We start from the raw sequence: 17,496 nt of genomic DNA on the forward strand, positions 1-17,496 counted from the left end.
TCCACTAAATTTGCTCAGTGCTTTGGTGGGGAAGATACAGTCTCTTGATTAACGCCACCAAAACATTCTCAGGGTTAGAAGAAGGGCAGTTCTCAAGGGTAAGAATGTGAAGCCAAAAAAACAAGTGACCACTTGTATCATTCAAAGCCTGAGATAGGGCTGTTAAATTTTCCTGGAGCTACAGTATTTCTGCACATTTCTCCTTTTCTCCTAATAATTTTTTACTGTAGGTGTTGATGTTAGTCAATACATAAAGTTTTATAACTGTTATAACTTCACTGTGCAATGTAGTGTTCATGATAAAAATAACCCTTCTTTTAACCATTTAGCGTTTTGACCGTTGATATCTATGTGTCTGAAATCATTAATTACATCTGTTTTTAAATGTCACCTTATAAATCTTTGTCCACCCTCTTTTTTAAAAAAATTATGTTTGTTTTATGGAAGATATCACAACCAATACCAAAGAAATATGAAAGTATATTCAAGGCTTCTATGAACACCTTTACATGCATAATGTAGAAAACCTAGAAGAGATGGATAAATTTCTGGAAATTTATCCTAGATTAAACCAGGAAGATATAGAAACACTGAACAGACCAATAACAAGAAGCAAGATTGAAATGGTTAAAAAAAATGCCAATAAAAATAGTCCAGGACCAGAAGGATTCACAGCTGAATTCTATCAGGCATTCAAAGAAGAATTGGTACCAATCCTACTGACACTATTCCAAAAGATAGAGAAAGAGGAAATTTTCCCTAAGTCATTCTATGAAGTCAGCATCACCCTTATACCAGAACCAGGAAGGGACACAACAAAAAAAGAAAACTATAGACCAATATCCCTGATGAACATAGATGCAAAAGTCCTCAACAAAATACTAGTGAGCCAAATCCAACAGCATATCAAAAAGATAATCCACCATGATCAACTGGGTTTCAGACCAGGGATGCAGGGATGGTTTAACATAGGCAAGTCAATAACTGTGATACACCACACAAACAGAATTAAAAACAAAAATCACATGATCATCTCAAGAGACACAGAAAAAGCATTTGACGAAATCCAGCATCCTTTTATGATTAAAACCCTCAGCAAAATTGGCACAGAAGAGACATGCCTTAAGGTAATAAAAGCCACCTGCGAGAAACCCACAGCCAACATTATACTGAATGGGGAAAAGTTTAAAACATTCCCCCTGAAAACTGGAACAAGACAAGGATGCCCACTTTCACCACTTCTAGTTAACATAGCACTGGAAGTCCTAGACAGAGCAATCAGACAAGAGAAAGAAATAAAGGGCATCCAAATCAGTAAAGAGGAAGTCAAACTGTCACTGTTTGCTGATGATATGATCGTATACCTAGAAAACCCTAAAGACATATCCAAAAAGCTCCTGGAACTAGTAAATGAATTCAGCAAAGTTTCAGGGTACAAAATTAATGTACACAAATCAGTAGCTCTGCTATACACCAACAGTGACGAAGCTGAGAATCAAATCAAGAACTCAAACCCTTTCATAATAGTTGCAAAAATAAAATAAAATACTTAGGAATATACCTAACCAAGAATGTGAAAGACCTCTACAAGCAAAACTACAAAATACTCCTGAAAGAAACTATAGATGACACAAACAAATGGAAACACATCCCATGCTTATAAATGGGTAGAATCAATATTGTGAAAAATAACCATACTGCCAAAAGCAATCTAGAGATTCAATGCAATTCCCATAAAAATACCACCATTAGCTGGGCACGGTGGCTCATGCCTGTAATCCCAGCACTTTGGGAGTCTGAGGCGGGTGGATCGCCTGAGGTCAGGAGTTCAAGACCAGCCTGGCCAACATAGCAAAACTCCGTCTCTACTAAAAATACAAAAAATTAGCTGGACGTGGTGTTGGGCGCCTGTAATCCCAGCTACTAGGGAGGCTGAGGCAGGAGAATCTCTTAAACCCAGGAGGCAGAGGTTGCAGTGAGCTGAGATTGTGCCATTGCATTCCAGCCTGGACAACAAGAACAAAACTCCATCTCAAAAAAAAAAAAAACCACCATCATTCTTCACAGAGTTAGAAAAAACAATCCTCAAATTCATATGGAACCAAAAAGGAACCCACATAGCCAAAGCAAGACTAAGCAAAAAGAACAAATCTGGAGGCATCACAATTACCTGACTTCAAACTATATTCTAAGGCCATAGTCACCAAAACAGCATGGTACTGATATAAAAATAGGCACATAGACCAATGGAACAGAATAGAGAACCCAGAAATAGAGCCAAATACTTACAGTCAACTGATTTTCAGCAAAGCAAACAAAAACATAAAACGGGGAAAGGACACCCTATTCAACAGATGGTCCTGGGATAATTGGCAAGCCCCATGTAGAAGACTAAATCTGGATCCTCACCTGTCACCCTATACAAAAATCAACTCAAGATGGATCAAAGTCTTAAATCTAAAACCTGAAACCATAAAGATTCTAGAAGATAACACCAGAAAAACCCTTCTACACATTGGCTTAGGCAAAGACTTCATGATCAAGAACCCAAAAGCAAATGCAACAAAAACAAAGATAAATAGATGGGACTTAATTAAAGTAAAAAGCTTCTGCACAGCAAAAGAAATAATCAGCAGGGTTAACATAACCAACAGAGTGGAAGAAAATCCTCATCTATCCATCTGACAAAGAACTAATATCCAGAATCTACAAAGAACTCAAACAAATCAGCAAGAAAAAATGAACAATCCCATCAAAAAGTGGGCTAAGGATGTGAATAGACAATTCTCAAAAGATGATATACAAATGGCCAACAAGCATATGGAAAATGCTCAGCATCACTAATTATCAGAAAAACTCAAGTCAAAACCACAATGTGATACCACCTCACTCCTGCAAGAATGGCCATAATCAAAAAATAATAGATGTTGGCATGGATGTGGTGAAAAGGGAAGACTTTTACACTGTTGATTGGAATATAAACTGGTACAACCACTGTGGAAAACAGTGTGGAGATTCCCTAAAGAACTAAAAGTAGATCTACCACTTGATCCAGCAATCCCACTACTAGGTATTTACCCAGAGGAAAATAAGTCATTATACAAAAAAGATACTTGCACACACATGTTTATAGCAGTGCAATTTGCAATTGCAAAAATGTGGAACCAGCCCAAATGCCCATCAATCAACGAGTGGATAAAGAAAATTTAATATATGAATTCTGGCTAGGAGGCTTCTCGTTCTGCTCAAATTGTTACAAAGTTCAGCTAGAGAAGACCTTCCCGTGAAGTTTTACCCCCTGCTCCTCTGGCCATCCTCCTGATGGATGCCTGTGGTGCCAGGCAGGAATGGGCTACTTGGGGATCCAGCGAGCTCCCCGTGCCTTTCTGCTACTTCCTCTACCTCTGTATTTCACTCAGCTCAGCTGTCTAACTTGACTCAGCTCTTTCTTAGTGCCTGAAACATCTAAAAGGGAAAATCCAGAAGAAGACAGAGAGAAACTGAGCTCTTGACAATGCATTCACTAAAGAAAGTGACCTTTGAAGATGTAGCTATTGACTTCGCCCAGAAGAGTGGAGCTTTCTCTTGATGGACATATCCAAGAGAAAGCTGTACAGAGATGTGATGCTGGAAAACATCAGTCACCTGGTGTCCCTCGGGCATCAGATAAGCAAATCCTATATAATTTTGTAGCTGGAACAAAGAAAAGAGCTATGGAGGGAAGGAAGAGAATTTCTTCAAGGCCAGAGTCCAGACAGGGAAACTGCCCTTAAGAAAAAACACATGATATCCATGCATCCTATCATCAGAAAAGACTCATCCACCAGTTTGACAATGGAGAAATCTCTCATTCCAGAGGATCCCTTTGAACATAATGATTTGGGAGAAGATTGCACTCACAGTTCCACAATGACTCCATGTTTGTTAACTCACAGTGGAAAGAAACCCTACATCAGCAAACAGTGTGGAAAATCCTTTAGTAATCAGTTGTCCCCTAAACAACATAAATTCATACTAAAGGTAAGTCATATCAACGTAATCTATGTGAAAAGGCTTATACTAATCGCTTTCACCTTAGGCAGCACAAGTTGACTCACACTGGAGAGAGACCATATGCATGTCATCTATGTGCAAAAGCCTTCATTCAGTGTTCTCACCTTAGAAGACATGAGAAAACTCACATGGGAGAGAGACCACATAAGTGTCATCAGTGTGGGAAAGCCTATATTCAATCCTTAAACCTTCAAAGACATTAGAGAACTTACCTTGGAAAGAGATGTTATGAATGTGATAAAGGTGGGAAAGCCTTTAGTCAGAGCTCTGGCTTTAGAGAGCATAAAAAAAATCACACTGGAGAGAAACTACATGTATGTCTTCTATGTGGGAAAGCCTTCAGTCTATCTTCTGACCTTAGATGACATGAGAGAACATGCACTGGAGAAAAGCCATTTGAATGCCATTTATGTGTGAAAGACTTCAGTCAATGTACTAATCTTAAATAGCATGAGAAAATTCACCCTAGAGAGAAAATTATAAACATCTTCAGAACATATTCTGACTTTAGATGACATGGTGTTAGGAATGACGAATGTAAGGAATGTGGAAGAGACTTCAGCTATAGTTGTAACATCTAAACATGCCAAAGGACTCAAATCTTGAGGAAATACTGTAATCAACATGGAGTATACTTCGGTTACGTTTATTCTTCAGTCCACATCAATGAATGGAAGAGAAATTGTATGGCATGTATGTAGCAAAGACTTGTTAGTGATCTGATCATAAACGACATGAGAGAGCTGAAACTGTCAACATAATAAACTAAAAGTCTTAAGCAACAGCTTTGACTTAAAACATGTGGGACTTTCAGGTAGAGAATCTCTAGCTCTATATGTATACATGGAATCTCTATATAGAGAGTCTCTAGCTCTATATGTATATATGTAACATATATACATATATGTTACATATATACATATATTGTTGGAAAAAAGAAAATGTGTATATATATGTGTTATATATAACGTATATATATTTCAATATTTGTAAGTATTATTTTATAATTATTTTGTAAGTATTATTTTTGCATTATTTCAATATTTGTAAGTATTGATCTTTTGGAAAAGTTTAATGAAATTTCTTATATAATTCTGCATTCAATTTATTCCCAGGTCAATTTGCTATTATACATTTACATGCCACATTTTTATGAATAGACATTTTCTCAAATTTCTGAATTATTTTGCTAAACTATGTGCTAAGAGTTTTTTCTAGAGGTCCACCTTCTTGACTCACTTTTCTGATGAGAAATCTATCAGGTTTCTCTACAGTGATTTTCAGGTTTGATAGCTCCTCAATGTGAGAAACTTAATGTCAACTAAGAAATGAATTACCACTGAAGAGTTTTCTCATTTCAAGATGCTGACTGTGTTTTGTCCAGTGTGAAATTTGACATGTGCCACAAGTGTTGCTCTATGAAGAAAGGATTTCTCATGATTTTTCATTGCATAATTTCTCCAGTAATAAGTATTTGGTATTTCAAGAGAATTCATTGCTCTCGGTAAGATTTTCCTTTCTTATTTAGCTTATAAAGGCTTTCCTCTCTTATTTTCCATTTTAGCAACATTTTATCACTGTGTTTTCTTGTGAACATCAAAACTGGTGCTTGGCTGAATGTTTAGTCACAGAAAATACAAATAAAGGGTTCATCCAAGTAAAGCTTTCTTATGTTATTTGACAATAAATTGCAAATAAAAAACATTTTCACACTGAATGCAGAGCTAGAGATTCTCTACCTGAAAGTCCCACATGTTTTAAGTCAAAGCTGTTGCTTAAGACTTTTAGTTTATTATGTTGACAGTTTCAGCTCTCTCATGTCAATTATGATCAGATCACTAACAAGTCTTTGCTACATACATGCCTTACAATTTCTCTTCCATTCATTGATGTGGACTGAAGAATAAAGGTAACTGAAGTATATTCCATGTTGACTACAGTATTTCCTCAAGATGTGAGGAGATACATATACATATATATATACATGTATACACATATATATACATGTATACATATATACGTAGTATATAATCACTGATTATATACATACGCGTATACATGTATATACACACATGTATATACATACGCGTATACATGTATATACACACATGTATATACATACGCGTATACATGTATATACACACATGTATATACATACGCGTATACATGTATATACACACATGTATATACATACGCGTATACATGTATATACACACATGTATATACATACGCGTATACATGTATATACACACATGTATATACATACGCGTATACATGTATATACACACATGTATATACATACGCGTATACATGTATATACACACATGTATATACATACGCGTATACATGTATATACACACATGTATATACATACGCGTATACATGTATATACACACATGTATATACATACGCGTATACATGTATATACACACATGTATATACATACGCGTATACATGTATATACACATGTATATACATACGTGTATATATATATATATACACACACACACACACACACACCATGGAATACTACTCAGCCGTGAAAAAGGAACAAAATAATGGCATTTGCTGCAACATGGCTGGAATTGGAGACCATTATTCTAAGTGAAGTAACTCAGAAAGAGAAAACCAAATATCACATGTTCCCACTCATCTGTGGGAGCTAAACTCTTTGGATGCAAAGGCATAAGAATGATACATTGGACTTTGGGGACTTGGGGGAAAGGGTGGGGGGTGACAAGGGATAAAAGACTACACATTGATAAAGTGTACACTGCTCAGGTGATGGGTGCACCAAAATCCCAGAAATCACCACTGAAGAAATTATTCATGTAACCAAACACCACCTGTTCCCCCAAAACCTATTAAAATAAGTAAATAATAAATCAATCAATAAATAAAATAAATAAAATTATGTTTGTTTTAGATGTGCTTTTTGGAAGCAGCAAAGGTTTTTTAAGCAGTTGTTTTTTAACCATATTTGGAGAACTCTGTTTTAACTGGGTAGTATAACTCATTTAAATTTATTATCAGGACTGATATCATTTGTGTTGTTATGCTATCTGCGGGTATTGTTTCTTTTTTCTTTCTTGCTGTTTTCTTTCTATTTTTCAGGTTTCTATGCCACTTCCTCTGTTTTCTGTCATTTGCTCTTTGGGTTGATTTTATCTTCTGCAGCTTTGGAAGATATCAACTCTCTTTTAAGTTCTATTGATATTAGTGTTTAAAAATTATTCTTTTTCATTCTTTACTAACTTTCACATAAGATTTTAAAAAGTAACTATCTTTTTGCTTTCTCCCAGTTCACATTTTTCTCACTTAGTCATAGTCTTTCTTCATGTTATCTGGACATTCAGATCCACATTAATGTGATTTGATTCTATATGTAGTTTTTCCACTGTCTTCTTTTAAGAACAATTTCCAATGTTTGCATTTCATTTTTACAACCAAACTTACAACAATTATTTAAATCTAATGCGATGGTTGATTTTACGTGTCAACTTGACACATATTTTTTAGTCTACTCTTACATTCTGCAAAACCTTCTCAAGTAAGTCCACCACATCACTGATTAAATTTTTTTGTTATAACAAGTCTGCTTTTACTAACTACATTGTTGATTTTAATTCTATTGCATTTTTCATTTTCATGACAATTTCCTCTTCTCTGGCAGCTGATTTTATCTCCAGCACATTTCTGTACATTTCACACTACTATGTCTTTAGGTTAATTTCTACTCTCCTCTTGGCTTTCTGTTCCAGTTTCATAAAGATTATCTTACTGTTTTAATAACTGCCAAGATGTTTACCAAAATATTTTCCTGGTTCTAGTAGTAAATCATTTAAAAAATATGTACTCCCTCTCTGAATCATCGGAGAAAAAAATCAGCTTTTCTTGTCATTTTCTTTTTAAAAGCATACACAGAAGTTTTTTTCCCTCTCCAATTCCATGAAAAAAGAATTTTTTCCATGTAAATACCAACATTCAAAGTCCATGATCCTACCTCACCCCTTAGGCTTTTCTTTTCTTTTTTTTTTTTTTTTTCTTTTTTGAGACAGGTTCTTGCTCTGTTGCCCAGGCTGTAGTGCAGTGGTACAATCTTAGCTCACTGCCGCCTTAACCTCCCAGGCTCAAGCCTCCCACCTCAGCCACCCAAGTAGCTGGGAACACAGGTGCATGCCACTATGCCTGGCTTATTTATTTATTTATTTATTTATTATTTATTTTTGTAGAGACAGGGTCTCAATTTGTTGCTCAAGCTGGTCTTGGACTCCTGGTCTTAAGTGATCCTCCTGCCTTGACCTCCCAAAGTACTGGGATTACAGGTGTGAGTCACTGTGCCCAGCCCAGCCTTTTCTTTGGAGTTAATAGAATTCTCTTTTTATGCCATTTCTTGGAGATAACTTGGCATGTAAATATTCTAATTAAATCTTCATGTCTTACAGGGCTTGAGTTGGGGTCTTCTCAGACCTAGGCTGTCAACTTCAACTTCTTTGAACTTCTCATCCCACAGAATATGTAAAATTAATGGTCCAAAGCTTTCCTAATATCTATGCTAAGTACATCTAGTTTCTTTTAGGACTGCACTTCTCTGTATGTAATGAGTCACTATCATTCACACTACCCTCTGCCTAACATGCTCGCCAAAACTCCATATATCCTGTTGCTATGATCTAAATGTTGATGTCCCCCAGAAAAACCATGTGCTGGAACCTAATGCCTAATGTGGTAGTATTAAGAGGTAGCGCCTTTTGAGGAAGTGATTAAGTCATAAGGATTTCAACCTAATGAATGGGGTCAGTGCTATAACAGAGCTGCCTTGCCCTTTCCACCACATGAGGACACAATAAGAAGGCATCATCTTTGAAGCAGGGAAGGAGCTAACATCAGACACTGAATCTGTTCATGCCTTAATCTTGAACTTCCCAGACCCTCAAAGGTTGAGCACTAAATTTCTGTTCCTAAACCACCCAACCTAAGATTTTTTTTATAGCAGCATAAATGAACTAAGATAGAAATTGGTACTGAGAAGTGGAGTGCTGCTTTAACAAATACCTAAAAATGTGGAAGTGGCTTTGGAACTGGGTAATGAGCAGAGTCTGGAAGGATTTGGAGGAAGAGGCTGAAAAAAAAAGCCTGTTTTGCTGGAATGGACAGTAAAGCGATATTCTGATATTCTGGTGAGGGCTCAGAAGAAAAGGAGAGCTGTTAAGAAACCTCAGTCTTCTTAGACTTTATCTAAGTGGTTGTGACCAGAATATTGACAGAAATATGGATGTTAAAGGCCATTCTGATGAGGTCTCAGATGGAAGGAACACATTGTTAGAAACTGAAGAAAAAACCATTCTTGTATAAAGTGGCAACAACTTGGCTGAATTGTGTTTATCTCCTAGTGCTTTGTGGAAGGTAGAACTTGGAAACGATGAAATATTTGGAAGAAATCTCTAAGCGAAGTGCGAAGAGTGCAGCATGGCTTGGCTTCTGTTGACTGCTTATACTAAAATATGAGAAGAGAAAAACTAACCAAAGATGGAATTTATAACAAACAAGGAAGTAGACCTTAAAGATTTGCAAAATTCTCAGCCTGGCCATGTTGTAAAGAATGAAAAATTGTGTTCAAGGCGAACAGCAAGGGTGTGGCCAAGTCACTATTTGAAAAGGATATTTAGTATGGATGGGCAGAAGCTTGCTTGCTTCTATTCATCAAGGCAATGGGAGAATGGGCCTGAAAACATTTCCGAGATCTTCAGCAGCTGCCCTGTCCATTACAGGCCCAGAATACCAGGGCCTTGAGAACAGAAATATTTCAAACTTCTGCCCCTCTCATTCTGGTGCAGCACTCCTTCAACCCCTCAGCTGTGGCTCAAATGGGCCCAAGAGCAGCTCAGGTTTCTCCTCTGTGCAGATGCACAGGCAGTAAACCTTGGTGGCATCTGCACAGTGCCACCTCACCAGAGTGCTTGAGCTGTGAGGACATGGCTACCTCCACCTAGATTTCAAAGGATTACCCAGAGAGCCTCAGAGCCACTGCAGAGAGTCCTCACTAGAGCAATGTCTAGAGGAGCCATAGAGGCAGAGTCTCTTCTGAGACCCCCCAAAAATAGAGCCACCAGCAAGCAACTCCAAACAATGACAACTACAGCATGGGCTGCACCCGGCAAAGCCATGAGGGCAGGGCTGTTCAGACCTGTGAGGCCCAGCCTCTACCCCTGTGTGTCTGGAAGATGAGATATCAAGTCAAAGAAGATTATTCTGGAGTCTTAAGGTTTAACGTTTGCCCTATTGGGTTTTGGATTTGGTTGGAACCTGCTATCCCCTTTTTAAAAAAAATCCTTCCTTTTGAAATGGAAATGTCTATCCTATGCCTGTCCCATCATTGTATTTTGGAAGTATATAACATGTTTGATTTCACAGCTGGAGAGTAACTTGCCTCAGGATAAATCATACCTTGAGTCTCAGCCATCTCCGATTTAGTTGATATTAAGATGAGACCGAGTTTTAGACTTTTGAGTTGGTACTGGAACAAGTTAAAATTCTGGGGGCTATTGGGATGGAACAAATATATGCTCCATGTGAGGGGGCCATGAATTATAGGGGGCCAGGAACAGAATGTCATAGTCTAAATGTTGACATCCCCCCAAAATTCACGTTGAAACCTATTATCTAATGTGATAGTATTATGAGGTGCAGCCTTTTGGGGGAGTGATTAAATCACAATGGCTGTGGCCTCATGAATGGGATTAGTGCCCTTACAAAAGAGATGGAAGTGCACTGCCTTACTTTCTTCTATGTGAGGACACAGCAACAAGACATCATCTCTAGATCAGAGAGTGAACCCTTTCCAGATACTGAGTCTATTGGCACTTTAGTCTTGCACTCCTCAGCCTCCAGAAGTGTGAGCAATAAATTTCTATTGTTTATCCGTTACTCAGTCTATGATATTTTGTCCAGAAGAACTAAGAAAACTGTCTTGTTTTTTTCTAAATGAATATATAAAGATTACAGTTTTAACATGGATATATAAAGACAGATACCAATGGAACAAGACAGGGTTTGAACAATCCTCTGAATACCTCAAAAATAATGCCTGGGTTGTAAAGAAACAGCCCTCGTCACTTTTTATTCATTGGTAGAGAATCAAAGTTGTATTTGAGAGGGGAGCTGTTAGTAGCTTTCTCTACCTACTTGCAAGATGTAGGTATATTCCATTTCAAGAGGAAAAACAATAAAATACAAACAGATCAAAACCACTCATACTGGCCATGAATTGTGAATGGTGTTATTATTATTTGAATAACCTTAAAAAACTGTCAGGCTTAGTTTTCAATGTTATGAGTTTTTATCCTCTTCTGTGTCTTCATAAATATACATATATTTTGAGACAGGGTCTCACTATGCTGTCCAGGTTGGTCTTAAATTCCTGTGCTCAAGCGATGCTCCTGCCTCAGCCTCTGGAGTAGCTGATATTATAGGCATCCGTAAATATTTTTGCAAGGAATTCAGAGAGTTACTGAAACAATACCTGCTAGCCAGATGCCATTTAAATTTAAGACTCTTGCTCAATATTTAAAATAATACTGAAAAATTAACATTTTATTTTTTCTTCTTATCATTATTGTTGTTGTAGTTCTTGCTGCAGAGTAATAATCATAGCTATGACTTGTTGAGTATTTTTTTTAAATCAGGCAGGCATTGTGAGCACACTGTATGAACTTTTTCTAATTCTTGTAATATCATAATTACTAATCTCACTTTCCATAAAGAAATTGAAGTTCAATGAGTTTAGATAACTTGCCCAAATCATACTGCTATTAAGTTGTAATGCTAAGCTCATAATCAAATGGCTTTGACTCCAATCCCATCCCTGTCTCACATGATGATACCTCACCCAGCAAAGGATTCTATGGCTATAGGAACACAACTGCCGTCATTCCCATTGAATTTTTTCTTGCATGTAAATTTCAGCACAACAAGCGTTTTTTTTAATAGTACAACCTGCACAAGTTGCCAACAAATCTCACTAGTAATATACATGGGAGAAGAGGAGACAGCAATTGATAATACAACTAAATCAGGTAAATCAATACAAGATTTTTGATCTAGCATTAATGTCTGCACAGATGCATGTTTGATGTAAGCCTGTAATGCTGGTTCTGGTAGTAAAACGATAGTATTTTTTCAATTCATCATGTAATTAAATGAGGTATTTCCTGCAACCAACTTCCTTCCTTCAGCAGGATTTAAGCTTTTTGATGAAAGGATGTTAACTGTTTGAGGGAGCAGAGTTTACTATCCACATCCTTTCAGTTAATACCCAGATTTAGAATTATTGAGAACAAATGTTTGAATCATCTCTATAAACTATAAATTAGATAATTCTATAAAATAATTGATTTTAAAGGACCAGATCTTTAACTCTTTACCACATTTCTCTTCCTTGTTTTTTCTTTTTAAATCTAAACTCTAAACAGCATGTAAAGTATTGTAAGAGCTTGCATTTCTACCTCAAATATGCCATAAAGGGCTCTATAAAAAAAGAGGCTGAAAATATATACTCCACTTTAAAATGAGTACACACATAGGTTGTTCTGAATCGCAGTTGGTAGGTCTTTAGAGATAAAAGTTATTTTAATGGGTTAAAGCCTCTCCTTTCACCTATGACAAAACTATAATCTGTGGTGAGGGATGTCAAATATATTGGTAAGGTGCTATTACCACAGACCCTGCAGACAACAAAAGGTAATAAGGGAATACTATCAACAACTCTACACACAAATTTGGCAACTTAGATAAAATGGATCAATTTCTTAAAAGTGCAAACTACCACAACTCACTCAGTATGAAACTTTGAATAGCCAAATAACTACTTACAAAATTAAATTCATAATTTTGAGACTTAAAAAAAGAAAAGAAAGAAATCTCCAACCCCAGAGAGTTTCACTGGAGAATTTGAACAAAGAGCGAAAGAATTAGCCCCAATTTTACACAATTTCTCCAGGAAATAAAAGAAGAATGAATGCTTCTTAATTCATTTTGTGAAGGTAGTGTTACACTGATACCAAAACCAAAGACAGCACACACACACACACAACACACAATGAACTATAGACCAATATCTTTCATGAATATAAACATGAAATATTTGGAAAATAGATTCAGTAATATCTAAAAAAAATTATATGCTATTACAAAGTGTGATTTATCCCTGGGATGCTAGACTGCTTTAATATTTAAAATCAATCAATGTAATATGTCATATAAAAATTACATGATCATATCAACTGATGAAACAAAATCATTTGGCAAAATTCAACACCCATTCATGATTTTAAAAAAACAACACTCAGAAAAATAGAAATACAGGGAAGTTTTCTCAATTTGACAAAGAGCATCTGTAAGAAAACCTACAATTTCCATTATACTTAATAGTGAAAAACTGAATTCTTTCCCCCTAAGACTGGGAGCAAGGCAAAGATCCCACTCTCTCCACTCTTATTCAACATAGTGCTACAAGTTCTAGCCAGCGCATCATGGCTAGAAAATGAAATAAAAGGTATACAGACCAAAAAGAAAGAAAGAAAACTGTTTCTATTTGCAGATAACATGATTGTTTACATAGAAAATCCCAAGGAATCTGTAAAAAGAACTCCTAGAACTAATAAATGAGTTGAGAAAAGTCACAGGGTACAAGATATACATTCAAAAATCAACTGTTGTGGAGCACAGAGGATTGGGGGCAGTGAAAATATTCTGTATGATACTATCTTGGTGGATCTATGCAATTATACATTTGTCCAAACCCATAGAATGTACAACATTAAGAGTGAACCTTAATGTAAACTACGGACTTTGGGTGACGATGTGTCAGTGTAGGTTGATCAGTTGTAACAAATGCACCACTCTAGCCGGGATGTCAGTAACAGAGGAGCCTATTATGCATGTGTAGGAGCAGGGGGTATATGAGAAATCTCTTTACCTTCCTCTCAATTTTGCTGTGAACCTAAATCTGCTGTGAAAAAAAAATTGTCTGTTTAAAAATTAATTTTATTTCCATATATTAGCAATGAACACTGAAATTAAAAATATGATATTTACAATCACTCAAAAAAAAAGAAACAGGTGTAAATCTAACAAAACATGTATAGGATTTACATGCTGAAAACTATAAAATGCTAAAGAAAAAACTCCAGAAGATCTAAATAAATGAGCAGCCAATGAGGATTGGAAGACTCAACATAGTAAATATGTCAGTTCTCCCCAAATTGATATACAGGTTTAATATATTTCCTATCAAAATCCCAGCAAGACTTTTAATAGGTACAGAAAAAATTCTAAAATATAACAAAAATATAGAGGAACTAGATAAAAAAGGACAAATTATTCCAAAAATTATATATGGAAAGGCAAAATAATTAAAATAGCTAAAAAAAACTTTGAAAAAGAATTTTAAAAACGGGAAGAAACAGTCTACCTAATTCCGACATTTTATAGCTATAGTAATCAAGATTGTGAGTTATTGTAAGTAAGACAGATATATAGATAAAGGGAACAAAATAGAGAAACCAGAAATAAATTCATAAATTCACAGAAATATGCCCACTTGACTTTAGACAAACGTGCACAAGCAATTCAATAGAGAAAAGATAGTCTTTTTTTATTTTTGGACACAAAGTCTCACTCTTTCAGCCAGGCTGGAGTACAATGGCAGGATCATGGCTTACTGCAGCCTTAACCCCCCAGGCCCAAGCAATTCTCCCACCTCAGCCTCCTTAGTAGCTAGGAATACAGGCACACACCAACATGCCTGGCTATTTTTTAATTTGTTGAGAGACAGGGTCTCACTATGTTGCCCAGGCTGGTCTCAAACTCCTGGGTTCAAGCTATCCTCCCACCTTGGTATCCGAAAGTGTTGAGATTACAGGCATCAGCCACTGTGCCTGTCCTTAAGATAGCCTTTTCAATAAATTGTTCCAGAACAATTAGATATCCATAGGCCAAAAAAAAAAAAAAAAATGAACCTTGACCAAAGTTAAAAATTAACTCAAAGTGGATCATGCACTTGCATGTAAAATGTAAACTATAAAACTTAAAAAAAACACACACAGGGGAAAATCTTTGGGATCTAGGGTTAGGCAAAAAGTCCCTAGACTTGACACCAAAAATATGATCTATGAATGGAAAAAAATGATACATTGGACTTCATCAAAATATAAATCTTTGGCTCTAGAAAAGACTGAGTTAAGAGGATGAAAAGTCAAGCTACAGGCTGAGAGAATATATTTACAAATCACATGGCCACCAAAGGACTAGTATCTGGAATACAAAAAGAACTCTCAAAACTCAGTGTAAACACTCAATCCAATTAGAAATGAATGAAAGTCATAAATGGAAACTTCACTGAAGAGGATAAATAGATGGTAAGTAAGCACATGAAAATATGTGCAACTTCATCAGCCCTTAAGGCTGTGTGAACTAAAATCACAATGAAATACCACTGCATACCTATGAGAACAGCTAAAATAAAAAATAGTGACAACACCAAATACTAGTGAGGGTGTGAAGAAACTGGATCACTCAGGTGTCACTGCTTGGGATGTAAAATGGTACAGCCACTCTGGAAAGCAGTTTAGTAGTTTAGCAGTTTCTTTAAAAACTAAACATGCAACTACCCTATGATCTACCAATTACACTCCTGGGTATTTATTCCATATAAATGAAACTTTATGTTCACACAAACACCTGTAAAAGAATGTTTATAGAAGATTTATTTGCAATAGCCAAAAAGTAGAAACATCAGACATGGTGGCTCACACCTGTAATCTCAACCACTGGAGAGGCTGAGGCAGGAGGATTGCCTGAGGCTGGGAGAGATTTGTCTTGGCAACATAGCAAGACCGTGTCTCTAAATAGTTTTTTTAATTAGCAGGGTGTGGTGGTGTCTGTAGGACCAGCTACTTGGGAGACTGAGGTGAGAGGATTGCTTGAGCCTAGAAGTTCAAAGCTGTAGTAAACTACAATCATGGCAACCTGTATACTTCAACCTAGGCAACAGAGAGACATCTGGTCTCTAAAAAAACAAAAAAAGTAGAAACAGCTCAGATGTTCTTCAATGTGTAAATGGGTATACAAACTGGAACAGCTGTACCATAAAATACTACCCAGCAATAACAAAGAATGAACTGTTGATACACACAACCACCTGGATGAATCTCCAGGGATTTGTACTAAGTGAAAAAGAAACAATTCTGAAAGATCATACATTGTATAATTATATTCACATATCTGATGTAACAAAATTATAGAAGTGAAGAACAGATTAGTGACTGCTAAGGGTTAAAGAGGGATGGAAGAGGAAGAGAAGTGGGTGTAGCTGTGAAAGAGCATCAGGAGAGAGCCTGTAGTGATGGAAATGTTCTGTATCTTGAATGTATCAGTGTCAACATCCTGGCTATAATATTGTACTATAGTTTTGCAAAATATTACATTGAGGGAAACTAGGTGAAAGCTACACAAGATCTCTGTGTATTCTTCCTCACAGTTGTATGTGAATCTACAGTTGCGTCAAAATGAAACATAATTTTTTTAAAAAAGGGTAAGAAGGAAATATTATGAACACTTTTATGACTACAAATTCAATAACTTAGAGGAATTGGCAAATTTTTTTAAAGACATTAACTACCAATAATCACTCAAGAAAAATAGAGAGTATGAAGAGTGGAATATCTATTAAACTGAAATTATACTTTAAAATCTTTTAACAACAACCAAAAAATCCAGGTAAAGAGAGCTTCACTAGAGAAGTTTACTAAGCATTTGTAGAAAGAAAAAATAATGCAATATCTATACACAAACACACAGACATAAAAAAATGGAAGAGAGAAAAAATGGCAGATAGGAGTCAGAACTAACTTGCAGCTCTTACCCAGATGGACAGAACAGCATGTGGAGACTCATATTGTGAACTTTTACTCCAAGAGCTACTGCAGGAAGATACCAGGAATACTAAAAGAATTCACAGATCCTTTGAAAGAAGAGGCTTGCTGCTACAAACTCTGTGAGACAGCCAAAAAACTGTGAGTATCCAAAGTGTGAGAGAAGGAAAGTCCGCTTCCAAATACACATCCTCACTGGGAAACCTGAAAATCCAGATCATGGGAGTAGGATTTAACCTTACCTAGAGCTGAAACTAGAGAGCCAAGAGAAATAGAAACGTAAACAAAGCAGCAGGGAGAGCCCTGTAGGAACTCCCTGCTTCCAGGGAAGCCCAGGGAAGCCATTTCTGACTTTATCTCACAGGGGTCTTTTGGGAGGGCTCCCAGTGGAATTGGGGAAAGACCACAAGGAGAAGGAAACTTCCAGCTGACCTTCATAATAATTTCAGCCAAGCGTAAATTGTCCTGGGCAGACAGGAAGTGCAGACAGGAGCACAGAAGTCATGGCAGG

The 17,496-nt window shown here is 36.5% G+C and overlaps 1 long non-coding RNA gene and 1 pseudogene across 1 annotated transcript in view, besides 2 other annotated features; one reads left to right on the forward strand and one right to left on the reverse strand.

Moving 5' to 3' along the window:
- The window catches only part of NFKB1-AS1 (NFKB1 antisense RNA 1), an 83,885-nt gene that overhangs the window by 39,134 nt on the left and 27,255 nt on the right, over positions 1 to 17,496 (reverse strand). The window lies entirely within an intron of this gene.
- LOC100419863 (zinc finger protein 705A pseudogene) lies at positions 3,446 to 4,615 on the forward strand (annotated as a pseudogene).
- Positions 5,788 to 6,288: an enhancer, noted in NCBI's record as "OCT4-H3K27ac-H3K4me1 hESC enhancer chr4:103384680-103385180 (GRCh37/hg19 assembly coordinates)". NCBI's record gives its function as "activates a minimal SCP1, AML or CMV promoter by ChIP-STARR-seq in primed H9 embryonic stem cells {active_cell/tissue: H9 hESC(primed)}" and the evidence as "EXISTENCE:reporter gene assay evidence [ECO:0000049][PMID:30033119]".
- Positions 6,289 to 6,789: an enhancer, noted in NCBI's record as "OCT4-H3K27ac-H3K4me1 hESC enhancer chr4:103385181-103385681 (GRCh37/hg19 assembly coordinates)". NCBI's record gives its function as "activates a minimal SCP1, AML or CMV promoter by ChIP-STARR-seq in naive H9 embryonic stem cells {active_cell/tissue: H9 hESC(naive)}" and the evidence as "EXISTENCE:reporter gene assay evidence [ECO:0000049][PMID:30033119]".

Source organism: Homo sapiens, chromosome 4 (assembly GCF_000001405.40).
Source record: "Homo sapiens chromosome 4, GRCh38.p14 Primary Assembly".
NCBI lineage: Eukaryota > Metazoa > Chordata > Mammalia > Primates > Hominidae > Homo > Homo sapiens.